This window comes from Homo sapiens, chromosome 10, assembly GCF_000001405.40.
Source record: "Homo sapiens chromosome 10, GRCh38.p14 Primary Assembly".
NCBI classification, from domain to species: domain Eukaryota; kingdom Metazoa; phylum Chordata; class Mammalia; order Primates; family Hominidae; genus Homo; species Homo sapiens.
The window spans coordinates 118,280,126-118,297,886 of NC_000010.11; the positions used below are offsets into that span (position 1 = coordinate 118,280,126).

General features: G+C 42.5%; 2 annotated features.

The window, feature by feature from the left end:
• Nucleotides 5,274–5,775: an enhancer, noted in NCBI's record as "H3K27ac hESC enhancer chr10:120044911-120045412 (GRCh37/hg19 assembly coordinates)". NCBI's record gives its function as "activates a minimal SCP1, AML or CMV promoter by ChIP-STARR-seq in primed H9 embryonic stem cells {active_cell/tissue: H9 hESC(primed)}" and the evidence as "EXISTENCE:reporter gene assay evidence [ECO:0000049][PMID:30033119]".
• Nucleotides 5,776–6,275: an enhancer, noted in NCBI's record as "H3K27ac hESC enhancer chr10:120045413-120045912 (GRCh37/hg19 assembly coordinates)". NCBI's record gives its function as "activates a minimal SCP1, AML or CMV promoter by ChIP-STARR-seq in primed H9 embryonic stem cells {active_cell/tissue: H9 hESC(primed)}" and the evidence as "EXISTENCE:reporter gene assay evidence [ECO:0000049][PMID:30033119]".

Below are 17,761 nucleotides of genomic sequence, written 5' to 3' on the forward strand. Positions count from 1 at the left end.
AGACTTTCCCTGGCCCCTTCATGTAATAGATATCTTGCTTTGTGATAAACCATTTTTTCCAGAGCTTGTGGGAGGTTGGTATCGGTTAGCTTTGCTGTGTAACAAATCACCCAGATCTCAGTGGCTTAAGATATCAATGACTTATTGTTGCTCATATCTTTGGTCTACTGGGATTTGGCTGATGTAGGCTGGGCTCAGCTGAGGGCTCTGCATCAGGTATCTTGGCAGCTGTTTCCCACTGCAGCTCTGATGGTTGGTCAAGGCAACCCTACATCATACAGGTTTCAGCCTTCATTGACCAGTGCACTGACCTTGTCATGTTTTTCATATCATAGTGATTATAGAGGTACTAAATAACAAGTGAAAACATGCGTCTAGGCTCAGAGTAGCTTACTGTCACTTCTACCCATTTATCATTATCCAAAACAAGTCACATGGCCAAGCCCAAATTCAAGAAGCATGAAACTCCATTCTGCCATTCTGCCCATGGAGATACTGGGAGAGCTATAGAACCACTAGGAGAGGATGTATACAGGATAGGATAAGAAATTAAGGACAATAATGCAATCACCCACAGTGGTTCCAAGATAAATAAGAGATCTAGTGACTTGGAGTCTGCCTTCAATGGGTCAAGAGAAAAGATTGAGAAGGGATTCTCCGAGAGAAGGAAGGGTACAAGACCAGGGTGAAATGCAGTTCAGCCTAGCATTGCTTGTTTTTCTCCTTGCTCCAGGCTTCACCGATCTTCCCAGGAACTGCTCAGAGCCTGCTCCTCTCAGACTTTCCTGGGGTAAGCCCAGTTCCAATCTACTGATTCTTGCTTTCTTCTGGAGTCTTGCAAAGAAAACCCCATACAGAATGGATGACTTCCGAGCTAGCCTAATAAGCCAAGTAGACCCCTCAGTTTGCATGTGGATCAGCTCTTACACAACTGAGTGCATTTGTCAACTGTGACTCTCTGGAAGTGTCCATTTTAATTGCAAGTACCTGCTCACCAACCGGTACTCATAAACAATTCCCTAATGGGTCCATCAAGTCAATGAGCACAAATTTTTGTACAGAATAAAAAATAGTCTCCTCAAGGGACAGAGCCCAGCCTCCATTCTGGATTCCAAGGACTTGGTCTCCAGTACCCATTGTCTCAGAAAATGCCACTCACTGTTTGCTTGGGACCCAAAGACTTTCTTTAAAGAAAACCACATTTAATGCAAACAGTGTATTCTACCTGCTTAGGAAGTCATGGAGGTATTGTGATTAAAGGAAAAGTAGAGATTATCTAGTCAAAAGGTTGGCAAACCTTTCTGTAAAGGGCAAAAGAGTAAAAATTGTAGGCTTTGCGGGCCATACAATCTCTGTTGCAGTGACTCAACTCTTGCCGTTATAGCGTAAAAACAGCTCTAGACAATATGTAAACAAATGAGCATGGCTGTGCTCAATACAACTTTGTTTACAAAAATAACTGGCAGGTCAAATTTGATCCACTGGCAGGGCTATAATTGACTAAACTCTGCTCTGATCTAACCTCCCATTTTACAGATTTGGCAACTGAGAACACTGAGGCATCTTGTCCTGCCATTACTGAACCTGGCACACACATGCACCGTGGCAATGGTCTTTTGGTACTGACTGTGCTTCTTTGCAGGGCTCTACCAGGCTGCGAGGCCCCAGGATGAGTGTGCTGAGGGGTCTGTGCCTAGGCCTTGATGGTTGTGAAACAAAATATCACCCTTACTTGTTTATATTCAAGGCTTCCTACAAGACAGATCTTCTTGACCTTGGAGACCTTGAATCATCCATCTTGTAACCCCAGTGACTTCCCAGCTCTGCCTCTGGTGCATAGCAAGGGCCAGTCAAAATGAATAAATGAGGCCCAGAGAGCAGGAGTGACTTGACCAAGGTGCCACCGTCTGATTAGCAGCAGCACAGGGACCAGAATCCAGGACATGACGTTACAGGGTAATCTGTGCTCATGCAGGGTAATCTGCTATTGGTTAGATATAAGATTGGATAAGGGGTTGAATAATTGCAAAAATATCAGTTAATTCATCAACAAATACCTACCAAAAGCACCTGCAGGTTGGGAGGCCCTAAGCCAAATGCTGCAGGCAGGGAAGGGCTAACCTGCAAGGAGGCTGCAGTACCGGAGGAGACACATGCAAATAGCTCTAAGCCTAGTGCTCATTTCTAGCTATAGAATAGACTCTGGAAGACTATGATTAACTTTTATTTTTCTACTTCTCTCTGCCTCGTGCTCCACCATATGTACACAGTAAGTCCTCGCTTCACATTGTCAATAGGTTGTTGGAAACTGCAACTTTAAGGAAAACTATATAGAGTAGATCTTCAAATAACATTGTTTCTTGTTTTTATTGTAATGTTGGTGAGAAAAAAATGGTTTTGTTATATGTTGTTTCACTTGAAGTTTTCATTTTCAAGAATCTATTGATGATGTTAAATGAGTATTTACTGTAATTACACACACACACTGTACCCACCACACACACTGCACCCACCACACACACACTGCACACACACACCACACACACTGCACACACTGCACACACACACCACACACACTGAACACACACACCACACACCACACACACCACACACACCACACACCACACACACTGAACACACACACCACACACCACACACACCACACACACCACACACCACACACACCACACACCAAACACACACCACACACTACACACCACACACACTACACACACCATGCACACACACACCGTACACCACACACACAACCACCCCCCCCACACACCACATATCACACACACCACACACCACACACACTGTATACCACACACCACACCACACATACACCACACACCATACACACTGTACACCACACATACACACACACACCACATACACCACACACCACACCACACACACAGCAGACACACTGTACACCACACACACCCCAAACACACCACACACACACACCACACACCGCGCACACCACACCACACCACACACACACACGCACACACACACACGGAGCAAGATTGTCATTGAAGAGTCTAGCATCCAGTTCAGGGTTCTTGACCTAGAGTTTTGGGAATAACTCCCCAAACTCCAAGGCTTTCTGGTCTTCCTTAAATTGTATATAAGTTTTTGTGCATTTTATTTTTAAAGAGAGACTATACATTTTTTTTTCAGATTCTTAAAGGAATCCCTGATTCCCAAATGCTTGACCATATGCAGTGGGTGACTTGGGACCCACGTCCTTGATCCGTGGTACCAGAACAGCTAGGGACTGTTTTAACCCCAATGTGACAGGCAACAAAACTCACATAAATCATACAAGGGGGGCGACAGGAGGAAAACCCTTTCTTTGACAGTAATTTCTGACCACCAATCAAAGTTTGCTTGTCTTACATCAAATCTTGGGTATTCAAACTCGAATTTGCAGACCTCTAGTCGGCTTCAGTCATCAGGGTTGAAAATTTCTGCAATATGGTGGAGAAAGCATGACCTTGGAATCTGAAGAGTCTGCGGTCTGATCCTAGCACCCCAGCCCCCAACCATGTGCTATTCTGTAACTTAACCTCTGTTGCTCCCCTTCTCCCTGACATCTCAGCCTCTCAGCTCACCTGTCTATAAAACAGGATAAAAATACCTACCTCACAGACTTATTGCAAACACTAAAGCAATTAGATACTTTAAACGTCTAGGCCGGTCACGGTGGCTCATGCCTGTAATCTTAGCACTTTGGGAGGCTGAGGCGGGTAGATCACCTGAGGTCAGGAGTTCAAGACCACCCTGGCCAACACCATGAAACCCCGTCTCTACTAAAAATACAAAATTAGCTGGGCATGGTGGCACATGCCTGTAATCCCAGCTACTTGGGAGGCTGAGGCAGGAGAATCGCCTCAACCAGGAGGCGGAAGTTGCAGTGAGTCGAGATCCTGCCATTGCATTCCAGCCTGGGCGACAGAGTGAGACTCTGTTTCAAAAAAGAAAAAAAGAATGTCTAGAACAGCACTTGGTAGGTGCTTAGACTGCCTTGCACATAGTAGGTATTCAGCAGATATTTGTTCCGGTTTCTCTATCCCCACCCAGTCCCCTTTGTTTTTTCATATATGTGGCACCTAGAGAGAATACTTTGTAATTCATTCCCAAGGTTGTTTTCCTTCCCTTGTTTTTTCTGAAAAAAACAAAAAACAAAAAAACAAAAAAAAACCCACCTCAGGATTGATAAAAGCAAAGAGTTGCTCAATGGCAAATCTGTCACGTACCTCTTTATTTCTCTGGCTTTTGGATAAAGCAAGAAGAGGCAACTACAGAAAAAAATGCAGAATAAAACTGCCCTGGTGTTTCATGCAGGGAAAAAAACCGCCCTGGTGTTTCATGAGTTGTCGTTGTGTGAGGTTTGGCTAATTCAGCAAGACCCCTTTGTTTTTGTTTTTAAACTATCGTATTAAAGCATATTTATTCAAAGGAGCGCAATCGCACTCAGAGACCCAATTAGCTTGGGAGGTTTATTCAATTTTGTGGCTCAACCATCTTACAAGTTTCTCTTTTGGAAGTGGCTTTGAAGCCAGCCTGTGAGTTAAGCACTACCATTAACAGTCACACTTCAAACTCACCTGTGTGCGGACTTGGATGGTGTAGTAATCCCTTCAGTGACACTTTGGACACACATTTACAGAGCACTGCCTTGGCACCCTGCCTCCAACCAGGTGCTGGAGACACAGCCATGAACAAAACAGAGGTGCAGTCCTGCCTTCATGGAGCTTGCAGCCCAGTGGAGGAGACATAGTGCAAGGACTCACAGCAGAACATGCTAAGCTTTGTGATAGAGGAGGTACAGGCCCACGTGGTGCATAGGAGAGGGGCACCCTGTCAGGATAGAGAGAGTCAGGGAAGGCTTCCTGGGGGAAGGGACATCTAATGTGAGGCCTAAAGGTTGAGTTGGAGTTAGCTAAATCCTGTGATTCCTGGACCTCTCATTAAGAAGGAGAGTAAAGAGATGCTCAGCAGGCAATGGGATAGCAGGGTCTGAGCTCAGAAGAGTGAGATCTGGGCTGAAGGCAGTGAGTTGGGCATTGTATTAGTCCATTTTCACATTGCTATAAAAAGCTTCCCAAAACTGGGTAATTTATAAAGGAAAGAGGTTTGACTCACAGTTCTGCATGGCTGGGGAGGCCTCAGGAAACCTACAATCATGGCAGAAGGCAAAGGGGGAGCGAGAACCTTCTTCGCATGGCAGTAGGAGAGGGAAGACTGAGTGTAGGAGGAACTTGCCACATACTTGTAAAACCATCAGATCTCATCAGAACTCACTTACTATCATGAGAACAGCACGGAGGAAACTGCCCCCATGATCCAATCACCTCTCACCAGGATCCTCCCTCAATACCTGGAGATTGTAATTCAAGATGAGATTTGGGTGGGGACACAAAGCCAAACCATATCAGACATCCAAGCACAGAATAGGTAAACTAGGAAAACCTCTCTGGGAAGGAAGCCTTTCCCAAGAGAGACTCACACCCTGGATCTCCCTAACCCACAGGGGCAGCCCTTACGGTCTGGAGGCTGGGGCTGCTCTCTCCAAGGCTGGTGGGCAGACTCTTGACCCAGAAAGCTGCTGTTGTCCCTCAACTGCCTTCCCCCCCATCCAGAGGGGATCTGGTTCTCCCAACCCATTCCATGTAGTGTCCCAGGAAGTGCATCCAAGAGCTTTGAGGCCAGAGGACAGAGCCATTCTAAGTGGCCCACAGCCTTGGCATCGGCCCAGGGAGCCCCAGTGAGAATCAGGGTCACCTGCAGACACCTGCACAGTCATCTTTGCACCATGCTGTACTTTCTGGGGTTTCAGGTCCATGACATGATGCTATCTTCTGGGTCACAGGCAAGCAAACACCATGAAGTCAGAGGTACACACAGCTCTCGGGCCTAAGTGGAGGGAAGTACATGCCCTCGCTGTAACAACACGCACTGAGCAGAGTCAGCTCTGACCAGGTTCTAGAAACCTTTGCAATCTTGAGATCCTATTCCTACTCTTTAACAGGAAGCATGCTTGTAAAGAGCTTTTGTCTTGGGGGGAAAGAGGAACAGCCCTCCACACGCCTCCCGACATTCCAAGGTTGGAGAATTAGCCTCCCACAGCTGCTGTCGCAGGAAGCGGGTCGGCCATATCCATGTGTAAACAAAGGCAGCGAGACCCCTTTCCTTAGGGCAAAGCCGGCTTCAAGAGACACAGAATTGAAGTGAGGGCAGGTGGAAAATACCGGCCCAGCATGGGAAGGGAAAGGAAATGCTTTGCTGAGCCATTTCTAGCAAATATGCTACAATCCTAATAAATATGTATTTTAAAAATCACTCTGTGATCAAAATAGGAGAACTCTTAATGTAATTTATTTTTTAACAAGAGGAGAAGGAGCTCTGCTATTAGACCACACTTCGGGACTTCACTTTTTAAAAGTTAGCCATGAGTGCATGTTGCTAGTAAATCGGGATCCCCCACCAGGGGCACTAAGTCATTTCGCATTAGCACCTATTCAGGAAATCTCCAGCTCCCAAGGCCAGTCTTTGACCAGGGATCACAGCTTTGATTTTGCGCTCCCTTTTGCCTTGGCCCCCTGCTCGAGGCTGTGCACAGCCTGACATGACGTCCTTGTCCATAATAATGACTTCTGAACTGCTTGGCTGGGGCGCTTTTCCAAAATGGAATCAGGGAATCTCTGACCCCACAGCCTGCTGAGCGCTGCTGTCCTCTGCTCAAGAGTTCACCAGATCCTCCCTTCAAAATTGGGCCACCACTTTCCATGTCTATCTAATGAGACGCTGTGCCACAGAGAAGAAATTGCAAGTGTATTGCAAAAGGCACCGGGGAAAGAAAAATGTTTTGGAGCTGTCTCTCTCTATGAGCCACCTATCTTAATTTAAAACTTTTCTAACAAGTATTTGTTTTTCTAGAATATCCAAGTTTATCAGTTAGAAAATCCAGGCAACACTGTCTCCGACAGTTGAGGATTGGTTTGCCTCCTGCAGCAAGAGCTTGCAAAAGGAATTACTGGTGTAGCTGTTTGAGGAGTGCACCAGGGACCCAGATCCTCTGTCTTCCTGCTCCTTGGGTCCTGAGTGTGACAAAACAGCCATCACTGTCACGAGACAGCTACAACAATTTCCGCATCTGGTCCAGACATGCAGGAGGAGAAAGATGGAAGATAAAGAACCAAAATCCTTTTCCACAGGAGCCTTGTTTCCCAACATTTTATTTTGCAAATGTTGTATAGATACAGCAAAGTTGAAAGTATTTTACAGGAAACATATTTTTTACCCAATGCCAAGGTTCTACTATTAGCATTTTACCGTTCTTGCTTTATCGCATATCTATCCATATCTAAGAGTTTGATCAGTCCATGCAGTTGAACAAAACCTATTCTCTCTACCCTACAGGCCGTTACATTGGTAATTATGAATAACATAAGGCAGAAACCAGGCACTGTGCAGTAAGAAATGATAGCCTAAGGGAGAAAGGAAATACTAGTATGTAGGGGGTCATTAGTGAAGGGGTAAAAGCTCTACACACACAACTGCCCATGGACATCCCTATACGATGGCACATATCTATAAATGGTGATTACAGTGATCACTCTGACCTCTTAAAAGGTCTAAATTGGCTGGACGCAGTGGCTCACGCCTGTAATCTCAGCACTTTAGGAGGCCGAGGTGGGTGGATCACGAGGTCAGAAGATCGAGACCATCCTGGCCAACATGGTGAAACGCCGTCTCTACTAATATACAAAAAATTAGCCAGGCGTGGCTACATGCACCTACACTCCCAGATAGTCAGTAGGCTGAGGCAGGGGAATTACTTGAACCTGGGAGGCAGAGGTTGCAGTGAGCTAAGATCGCGCCACTGCACTCCAGCCTGGCAACAGGGCAAGACTCTGTCTCAAAAAAAAAAAGTTCTAAATTATGTTCAGTTAAATCTGGTTAAGAGGGCAGAGGCATTTTTAACTCATTTTAGAAACATTTTCATAAAATAGTTGAATAGTTTAAGTGCTATTACATTTAAGATCCCTGGATAACTCACTTACACGTTTTATTTCATGTCCCAATGATGCAGGGTAAGCCACATTGTGTTGAATGCATCCTATACACAGTATTATAAATGCACTCACTTGTTTACTCATTAAGTAGAGAGCAGAGAGCTTCCTCTATCCAAAGTGCTGTGAGTTCATGAGAGGCACAGAAAAGGTGATGGAGAATTACAGGAGGGATAGACAACCAACTTGAATATCAAGACAGAAATGGCCCTTCTTCCACACCTGCAAAGGCTGCAGCACATCTGATGTGCAGTGATGGGAGGAGGCTCTCCTGGAAGAAATGGGGAATAGGGGTAGGAAAGGGTAGAAGGTACAGGTAGAGGACAGTGGGGTTTGCTATGGACAGAGGAAAGGTGCTAAGGGGTGGGCTATGACTGATGTAGAAAGATAAGTGGATGTTCTTGGCAATAAAGCATTTTGACTTTTACTTGTAGACTATGATACATGATTGAAGGTGTGATAGGATCAGAGCCGTGCCTTTAGAAGTATGTTCTGCAAACAATATGTAGGCTGCATTGGCATAGGGAGAGGTTGGAGACAGTAAGACCCAGGAAGAGGTCAACTGAAATAGTTCAGTTAAGAATTAATGAAAGGTCCCAAGCAAAGACTTGTACATGAACATTCATAACTGCTTTAGTCGCAATGGCCCCAAACTGCAAACAACCAAATGTCCTACAACAGGATAATGGATAAACAAATTGTGTTACATCCACACAGTGGAATACTACTCAGTAATATACAGGAATTAACTACTGGTACATGTAACAACATGTGAGAATCACAAAATCTTTATGCTGAGTGAAAGAATCCAGACTCCCCCCAAAAGAGCATATATTGTATGATTTCATTTACATAAAATTATAGAAAATGCAAACTAACCTACAGTGATAAAAAGCAAATCAGGGGTTGCCTGGGGCATTGGAGGGAGGGATGGACTGCAAACAAGGCAAAAAGAATCTTTTGGGGATGATGGAAATATTTTGTATCTCAATTGTGGTGGAGATTTTATAGGTGTAGACTTCCATCACAACTAATCAAATTGCACATTTTAAATGGATGCAGTTTAATGTACATGCATCACACCCCAGTAACGTTTATTTTAAAAACTAAGAGAGACTTCTGGATGAAGATGATAGATGGAATTTATCTACCTCCATTCCTTCTATCAGATAATAGTAAAAACATTGTTTTTTAAAGGCATGTGTCTCCAAGGGCAGTAAAATGTAAAAGGAGTCATTCGCAGCAAAATTAACAGATGAAGAAAAGAATAGAGCAGATTTGAGATGGCCTAATCCTGACAGAACAGGGAGAAAGTCAAGGCCAACCTACCACTCAGGGCGGATGGAATCAGTGCAGGTGAGGTGAGGGCAGCTAAAATAAGGAAGACTGAAAATCTCCTCCTAAGCACTTAGCATTCTAAGCACTGACATCCTTCCCTACCCCTCTCTGGAGAAGACAAAAGGGAATGTCTATGGACTGAAGGACAATAGTCATGGTTGAGGGAGGGGAAAGTATGCCAAAACCAGAGGTGTCAAGAGATTGTCTACCTGTAAGAAGTTTAGATCCTACCTGTTTATTTATTTAGGTTCCAGAAAGCTGGTAACCAGGCCTCCATCTTCCAAGGGGAGACCAGTAGAGTCTTTGGATAGTTTGATCAGTCTGAAAGGGACAATTTATAATACTGTCATTAATGTTTTCCCAACTCACAGCCTAGTTAGGTCATCTTACGAAAGAGAAAGCCAAGGGCTTCAGTTCCCCTCCTGTTCCCAGAGCTTTACGTTAGCATTTCATCCCTCCACTCTTAAATATGATGAGACAACCAAGCATTATAATATAAAACAGAAAACAAAACAAATGAATATTAAAAAGGAATCTAGTGGAAACATATAGTATGTTAATTAGAAATAAACCTCTAAGAGATAAGATATTACAACCTTGAAACAAGAGCAGATTACTATAAAAAAGGAATATTTTGATTAATAAAAGAGCTCAAAGAATTTAAAATATAGCAGAAATGCAACCCTCAATTGAAAACTTGGAACACGAATGGAGAATATTCCCTAAGAAATAGAGCAAAAAAATTCAAGTTGTTCTAGAAAGAGAGGATAATTTTTTTAAAGAAGGCGGATATAGCAATAAAATATTTGAAGAAAGCTTCCCATAGTTGAAAGGCATTAGATGGTAAATTAAAAGGGCCCACTAAGTACCCAGGACAATGAATGAAAAAGATCTTGTAAAAGTGCATCAACACAAGCTTTCAGAACACAGGAGACAAAGAGAGGAAATTACAAGCTTCCAGAGGAAAAAGAGAAAAAAACCAAGAACACATCATACACAGAGAAACAGGAGTCACAACATCTTCAGATTTCTCAGTAGCAATATGGAACCTAGAAAGCAGCAGAGTAAGACTCCAAATTTAGAAGAAAAATTAATTCCAACCTAGAATTCTAAACTCAAGCTGTCAAACAATTACAGGGTGGATTAAGGCATTTTCAGACGAGATCGGGCACGTTCAGTGTGGTATGGCCATAGATGGATAAGGTATTTTCAATCATGTAAGTGCCAAAAGAACCCCTTCTCCTCTGTATTCTTTCTTGGGAAGCTCTGGAGGAAGTGACTCACCAAAACAAGAGATTGAGTAGGTGGAAGGTGTGGGATACAGGTGATGAGAGCTCAACATGAGAGGGAGGGAAAGGAAATTCCTAGAAGATGATGTAGGGAGACCCCAGAATGATACTTTTGCTCTGCAATTAAGAGTTGTTTTTCCTATTAGGACTTGTAGACACATGGCATCTCTTGTTCATTGAAAGATTTTTTTTACATATAAAAAATAACCTTAACCACTAAGATAGTTTTTAAACATTATTTTGTACAACAGAATTACCTATAGGCTTACTAAAAATACAAATTCTATTGCTTCCCATTCCAAGAGATTCTGTTTCAGGAGGTCTGGGTGAGATCCCAGGAAAATGCATTTTAATCAGTTATCTTGGGTGATCCAGTGCAGGTGGGTCATAGACCATGTCTGCAAAACATTAGTCTAAACAACAGTACCAATAGCTGAGTAATGTAAGCTCAACTGTCATTTTTATAATCTGCCAATATTTACTTTTTAAAATTGAGATATAATTCACATACCATAAAATTCATCATCCTAAAAGTGTGCAGTTCAGTGATCCTCAGTGTATTCACAGAGTTGTCTAACCATCACCACTGTCCAGAAGATTTCCATCCCCACTAAAAAAAATTCCAGAAGATTTCCATCCCCCTAAAAAAAAAAGAAAAAGAAAAAAAGCCCTGTACTCATTAGTAATTAAGTCCCCATGCCTGATTCCTCTTCCTCTGGACATTACTTTCTGTCTGTACGCAATTGCCTACTCTGGACTGTATAAATAGAATCATTACAATATGTGGCCTTTTGTATCAAGCTTATTTAACTTAGCATAATGTTTTCGAGGTTCATCAATGTTGTCACATACATAAGCACTTAGTTTGTTTTTATATCTGAATAGTATTCCATTGTATGAATATACTGCACTTTGTGGATCCACTTATCAGTTGACAGACGTTTAAGTTGTTTCCATCTTTTGTCTGTTGCAAATAACGCTACAATGCATGTTTATGCACAAGCTTTTGGGTGAACACCTGTTTTCAGTTCTTTTGGTATCTACCCAGGAGTGGAATTACTGCGTCATATGGTAACTCTTTAACTTTTTGAGGAACTACCAAACTGTTTTCCACAGTGGCTGCACCATTTTATGGTCCCACTAGCAATATATGAGGGTTCTAGTATCTTCACATCTTCACCAACACCTGTTATTGTCCATTATTATTATTATTACTATTATTATTAATCATAGTCATTAAAGTGAGTGTGACCTGGTGTCTCATTGTGTTTTTGATTTACGTTTCCCTAATGACTTGCCAGGATTTATTCCTGCATATTCCTCATTCCCCCCAACTCCTACTTTTTGTCTGTGCTATATATATATGGTCAGATCATAGAGCTAGTACATATTACAAATGTCCTTTGCTCTTTATTCTCAATTCCACACGTCTCCATGTATAGAGTGCTCACTATCAGTCATGACCATGTCTGACATGGTCTCCATGGGAACAGAGAGATCACATCAATGTCTCTTCAGTCTGAAGTTCATTCTTTACTAGATTCCTTAGGAAGAGTTCATGGAATAATTTTCCCTATATATTTGCATGATAATAATAGTTCATGTATGAATTATTTTTGTATCTGAAGATCAGTTTTGATAAATTAAAATCCTTGGCTCACATTTTCTTGAGTATCTTAAGTATGCCACTCTGTTACTCTATTTTCTTATGACCCAAAGCATTGCCTTGAAATGTCTAACGATAACTAATTTTCTTTCCCCTTTAAGTTACAGGCTCTTTTGTTAGAGATGCCTTTTTTTTTTTTTTTACCAGCAATTTTACTAGTTTACTGCAATTTGTCTTGGTGTTGGACAAGACCCAGTAATTACATTACAGTATGGTTTTGTGTTCATTATTCTGGGTAACATTCTCAGGTACATAGCATGCTTTTTCAACATGTGTTTTCAGATCATTTTCTTTCTGATTTTTGAAAACATTGCTTGAAGCAGAGTTTTTAGTAGTTGTTCTGTTTCCTTGCATTAGATTTCCTCTTCGGTACTTCTGTTATCTATATTTTGTCTTCTTTTTTTTTTTTTGAAATTTTTCTTCTTTTCCTTCCCTATTTCTCTTAAAATATTACTTGCCATTTATTTCCTCTTTGTTCCTTCTGGATTACTCTTCTTCTAAAATTATTTTTCTCTGTAGTTTTTTTCTTGCATTCTGTCGCCTCATTCCTGAGTTTTTCTAATTCTGATTTATGCTGTTCTTTCACAGCCCATGTCATTTTCTAATGTCTTTTAGCCTGTTTTGAAGGGGTGCATTATAATTTCTGTGAGCTTTATATTTTTTTCACTGCCTGTAGGAATGTCATTTGGCTTCTTATTCTCTTTTAACTTTATGTGGCATATTTTTGCTGTTATCTACATGTGACTTTAGTTTTCCTAAACTTGTAGAAGGAAGATTGGCTCAATGAGCTTTTCTAACTTCACAGGGTTCTGAATATTCTCTCTCTCTTTCTCTTTCTCTCTGTGTGTGCGCGTGTGAGTGAATAAATATGTTGGCTTGCTTTCTGTGAATTTCTGGCTGTTTCCCTCTGTAACTGTACCCTGCACCTTCCCTTTCCTTCTTCATCTCTGTTATCCCTAGTCTACTCACTTCATTCTCAGTTTTTAGGAGCTCTGTGGACTCCATTTTGAGAGTTCACAGGGGCCCGGCTGCTCCAGCCCCTAAAGGTTTTATTGCGGGTGTCTTGCACCCACCCTTTCAGTTTTACCTGTTCCCAAATTGTGTTGCTCTGCTTCCCCGTGCATATCTGGTGTCTATTCTGAAGCTATCCTGCTCTCCAGCACATACCTGGTGGCTATTTGGAAGTTTTCTCTGATCTCTCAGATGCCCTGTTGCTTACCTCTGCTTTCTCCTGCAGAGATGCCAATTATAGGCAGGTCTCGAAGTTGTCAAAAAGTTTTCCCCAACCACTTGAATGTTGGAGTTCATGGTTTGGGTGTCTAGTTGCTATGACTTTTTTTTTCTTTAATGTGGAGATTTGGAGAAATCTAAGAACTATGTTGCCGTCATCATCACAATCTTGTGGAGTTCACTAGTTTAATGGGTAAGCAAAGAGCCTAGGGGGAAAAAAGGATAGAATAGGACAGGCACAATTAACAGATTTGTGGATTGTTTATATATGCCAGCAAATTTAAAACAACAGTCCTCTTGAAAAATTTTTAAAGTGAAGAATTAGTGAGGTTTTATTCAAATCTGTATATTTGGTTTCTCCTTAAAACAGAAGACCTGGTAATACTGGGCCTCTGTGCCTGGCCTACAAATCCCTACTCCACACATGTTCTCATTTATGTTATTTATGTTATCTGTCTGTTGCCTGAAGGCTCTGGGGTTAGAACCTCCAGTCTAGAGTAAAAGCCACCATGCCCATGTGATTCAAAGCTCAAGAACTATGAATGAAACACAAATTCTAAACAGACATGTTAGCTCATCATAATTTTAAATTCCTCAATTAATTTTACCAAATATATACATATATAAACTTATTTTCTAATAAAGTGTGATTAGAAAGTAAGGTTGGCTTATCTATGTAAAAAATTAATGAGTGCTACTGTCACACACAACATGAGTATATCTCACAAGCATAAGATGAACAAAAGAAGCTTGACACAAAAGGATCTCAGATTTCAAGATTTCATTGATATGAAGCATAAGAACAGGCAAAACCCTCTAGGATCAGAATGGTGGTTACCTCTGGGTGGAGGTGGTGATTGACTGGGAAGAGATATTAGAAATATCTTGATCCAGGAAGAGGTGGTTTCATGGGAATTACCTATAAATTCATCAAGCTAAGCACTTAAGATTGATTACTTTTGCTGTATATATATTAAAACTCAATAAAAATTTTTGACTGTCATTTTAAAACCATGCTACAAATATGTACTATGTACATCAATTGGAGGTGGCACAAGAAGGCATCAGTAAGGAGCCTCCACATGGCCACCACCACCAACTTGAAAATACGTTAGTCTCAGAGGATTAAATTCCAATTATGTGCCTAAAAGATGGGAGCACAGAAAAGCAAAGTCACTTTAGAGAGGCCCAGAAGACATGAATCTGATGGAATGTATTGACATGGAAAAAGGAGGAAGGTACCCATCAGAATGGTGGTGCTGGTGCCGGGTGGGTCGACGGGCAAGGGGTCTGCTGAAGTTTAGAAAAGGAAGTCATCATGGCTAAAGATAGCTGACTGCGATTTTGGGCCTCTTAAGTCATTTTCTTAATAAGAGGAGACTGCTAATCCATGGATGAAAGAGTCCAGTTCCCTGCGGAGTTTTGTGTCTTCTTGTAAATTAATCAATTAGCATCGTGTTTACATAAATTGGGCTCTTGTAAGTAAAGTCAGCACAAGTCAGCTTCACTGCATGGGAATACCTCTGAAACGCTGGCAAGGCCAGGTGGCTGGGTCTGCACAACTGGGGGCCAGACTCAGACTCAGACTCAGACTCTCAAGTCTAGCCTTGCAAGAAAACCTCTTTGTGGCCAAATAATGGGGAGTCTTCAGGGTGGCCTCAGCCTGCACCATTGTGGCCCCTGGGCCCTGCCCGGGCAGTGGCAGCACTACTGCCCTGCAATGGGGACATGGAACATGTGTGAGCATGCAGTGTGTGTGGCTGGGACTCTCATTGCAAACAGCACATAAGCTGGAGGCTCTTTGTAAAGAAGCACTGACAGCTCTGGTCACTTCCCATCTGGCAGGAACCCCTAAATATTTATTTATTTGAAAACCTCAAATATAATTCTCCTAAAATTCTCCAGATCAAAAACACTTTGTCCTTTCCTAACAAAATAGAATCATTTGAATGGGATTATTACAACAATGCACCAATTTCAAAGTTCTTATAAGCCACAAAATGAGGGGAATTTGTGTTTAGATGTCTTTCAAAGCAATGAATTTTTAATTAAAAATTGAAAGTGGAGGAAAAGCTCAGCTCTAATGGAAGGGCTCTATATCCATGCTCTGGGTAGTTTACTACAGTGACAAAGTTGATACAGTTTTTATATTTGCTAACTAGTATCACATTATTCAAAAATTATTTTGCCGATGGATCTTCAACTGAATCATGCTTATAGTTACTCAGGAATTTTCTGGCATATGTCCTTTTAACTAGTTGATGATAAAAAATGATGATAATAATAGGAGTGATTTTTCACTAAGCTATATCCACGTCCTCCTAAAGTATCGCCTGTCTGCATGGCACCAAAGGCCAATGAACCCTCACCCTTCTACAGAATCCAGCAGGGAGAGTTTGAGGCCAGGGGAGTCTGGTCATTCTGGGAATGAATGAGAAGCACCCTTGTATGGTCAGTGGTCAAGCTGCTGCATTCCTAGGGATGGTTTTCCCACCTGGTGAAGCCTCTTTTAGAACCATGGTTCCCTTTAGAGCAGTGGGGGATCATAGCAGACGTAAAAGCTCTAAGTAGAAGCTCTTCAACAATAGAGGAAAACAGAGGCTGTGACTCAATGATGCTGCTCAGAGTGGGAGACAGGTGTGTAGAAAGGCTGAGGGCCACAAGCAATGCTCCCAATGGAGCAGGTTGCTGTGGGGATCTGGGGCGGGGTGGGCCCACATGCCCGCCCTGCTCCCATTAATTAGCAGCCCTGGGATCCAGGAGCCTGGACACTGTGTGGACTTGACAAATTCTACTGATTGTGCAAGTGCTTTGTTCAAGCTCTAAGTGTACCCTGCCTCCTTCTCCTCAGAGGACCTTTGCAGAGGCTGTTCCCTCTGCACAGAGCCCTCTTACACACTCTCTCGTTCTAGTTCACTTTCTCCCTTTCTAGAGCTGAGCTCCATTCTCCTTTCCTCAAGGGTCTCCCCAATCAACTCACATTCCCCATCTTACTCTCCCTCCTAAAACCACAAACTCCATTACAGCATTTATCCCAGATAGACTTTTTATTTATCTGGGTGATTCTTTGATGACGTCTTTCTTTAGCACTAGACTGTAAGCTACAAGAGGGAAGTGACTGCACAAGAAAAGGCTAATTCTTCTTTTTTTTTTTTTTTTTTTTTGGCTCACCATTCTATCCCCATGACCTAGTACAGTGCCTGGCATGTACTGGCATACAATACTAAGTGTGTCTTAAATGAATAAATAACTGAATACATTTCTTCTCATTTTGCTGAGTCTAGACAACCAAATTCCTCTGGTTCAAACTTTCCTCCTTCTCCTAATTCATTCATCTACCTATTCTCTACCCCGGGCAACCACAGCGCTCAAATGCACATCTCATGTCTCCCATCCCTGTTGGCTGCACCAGAAGGGGCCCCTTGGTTGTGCGGGAGTTCATGTCCTAAGTATGCTGCCGCTGTCAGCTGCCATTCTTTGCGCTGGGTGAGGCCTCCATAATCCTACACCTCACTGGCCTCTCAGAAGATGGGGACTTGAACTTCCATGCAGATGTGTGGTTTGCCCAGGCCTTCTTTCCTCTCATTACCAGATGGCCCACTCGACACGCCAGGGGCCATTGTGTTACTAATGGACTAGCAGAGGTTCGGGCCTTGGGTTTACCATGGGTTTGGTCTTAGGAAAGTTGTGCAACTTCTTTGCATGTAAGCTTCCTCGTGTGCAAGATAAGGATAATAGCATATACTTCACAGAGTTGTAAAATTAAATAAGATAATGCTTAAGAAGTAATTAGCATGGTGTTGGGCACATAGGAAAAAATGGCGGTTCTATCTCAGTACATGTGAGGATCTGCACAGACTGTGAAACTGACACCTGTCACACCGGGCCTCACACCCTGGCAGGTATCACGATAACGAAGTTGGTCCACCCTTGCCTGTAGGGTGTCAATTACTCCACAAGCCAGGTATCTGGCTGGGTACAGCTGAGCCTGGAGTCCCTTCCTGTTAGAGCGCCCTGAGCAACATATATCATACTCTTCTTATCCAGATGAAATTGCACTTAGAGCACCAAAGGCAGCCTGAAAGAACACAAATCTGAAAGGGGCAACCAAAAGCGGTGTTTCTCTAGCTGTACAGGAACAGTATTAGAGGTGT